General features: G+C 44.7%; 1 annotated feature.

Moving 5' to 3' along the window:
* Nucleotides 235-284: an enhancer, noted in NCBI's record as "active region_23171". NCBI's record gives its function as "activates an Ori minimal core promoter by ATAC-STARR-seq in GM12878 lymphoblastoid cells {active_cell/tissue: GM12878}" and the evidence as "EXISTENCE:reporter gene assay evidence [ECO:0000049][PMID:35858748]".

The raw sequence follows: 1,124 nt of genomic DNA, 5'->3' as shown, positions 1-1,124 counted from the left end.
CAGATCAATGGAGAAAGATTCATTCTTATAAAATGTGAGATTTGGTAGTCCTTTTTAAAAAACTATTGTTCTGTCTCCTCCCTTGTTGACAAAGAGCATGTAATAGCAACGTTCTGGACCCCTTTAATACAGGGGCTAACAGTTCTGTACCACCAGAGGGCGATACTATGTAATAGCTGGTGCACATAATACCTGAATCCTCATGACAGTGAGAAATGGAGTCAACATTTATAGAAAGGGGCCAGAGGCAGACACTAGAATTGTGGACAGGTTCCCGAACAATAGGATGGGAGACAGCACAGAAAGCTCCTTTCACACCTACCCCCCAGCTTCCATCTCCTTTGCAATTGTCCTCACAACTAACTCTGCCCATATTTTTCCAACACGTATAAAAATTCTCCAGCTGAAAGACCTGCTTGCATAAGGCAAGGAAAAAATGTGCTCAAGCTACCACCTACCAAAACATCCAAACACGTAGAGCTGTTAGAAAATGAAGACACTGAGAAAAAACAGAAAGAAGAAGACAGGCACACAACGGGACAGGCCCCATTTTGTTCTCTGTTGGGTCTGGGGCCTGCAAGAGTCTACAAGAAAACAGCAGTTTCTCCAGCATTACCCTGTGGTTTCCTGTTAAAACCAAGGGTTGAGAGTTCTGCTTCCTAGAATGGGGAGCTAGCTTTTTTCCAGGCCAAGCCTTTAGCTGAAAATAACTAGAAAAGGACAAAAATATGTCATTTAATCTGTGTGATGGCATTGAAGAGTAATGACAGACCTCCAGAAGCAAGATCTAGGGGAGAAGGAAGCCCAATTTTCTCTTCTTTCTTTCTTTCCTTCTTTCTTTCTTTCTTTTTTTTTCTCTTAAGACAGAGTTTCACTCTTGTTGCCCAGGCTGGAGTGCAATGGCGTAATCTCAGCTCACTGCAACTTCCACCTCCCGGGTTCAAGCGATTCTCCTGCCTCAGCCTCCTGAGTAGTTGAGATTACAGGTGCCCACCACCATGCCCTGCTAGTTTTCTTATTTTTAGTAGAGATGGGGTTTCACCATGTTAGCCAGGCTGGTCTTGAACTCCTGGTCTTGGCCTCCCAAAGTGCTGGGATTATAGGCGTGAGCCACCACGCCCAGC

The sequence above is a fragment of the Homo sapiens genome, chromosome 5, assembly GCF_000001405.40.
Source record: "Homo sapiens chromosome 5, GRCh38.p14 Primary Assembly".
Classification (NCBI taxonomy): Eukaryota; Metazoa; Chordata; class Mammalia; order Primates; family Hominidae; genus Homo; species Homo sapiens.
Note: the sequence above shows the minus strand (reverse complement) of the source record. Positions and strands in the feature narration are given on the sequence as shown.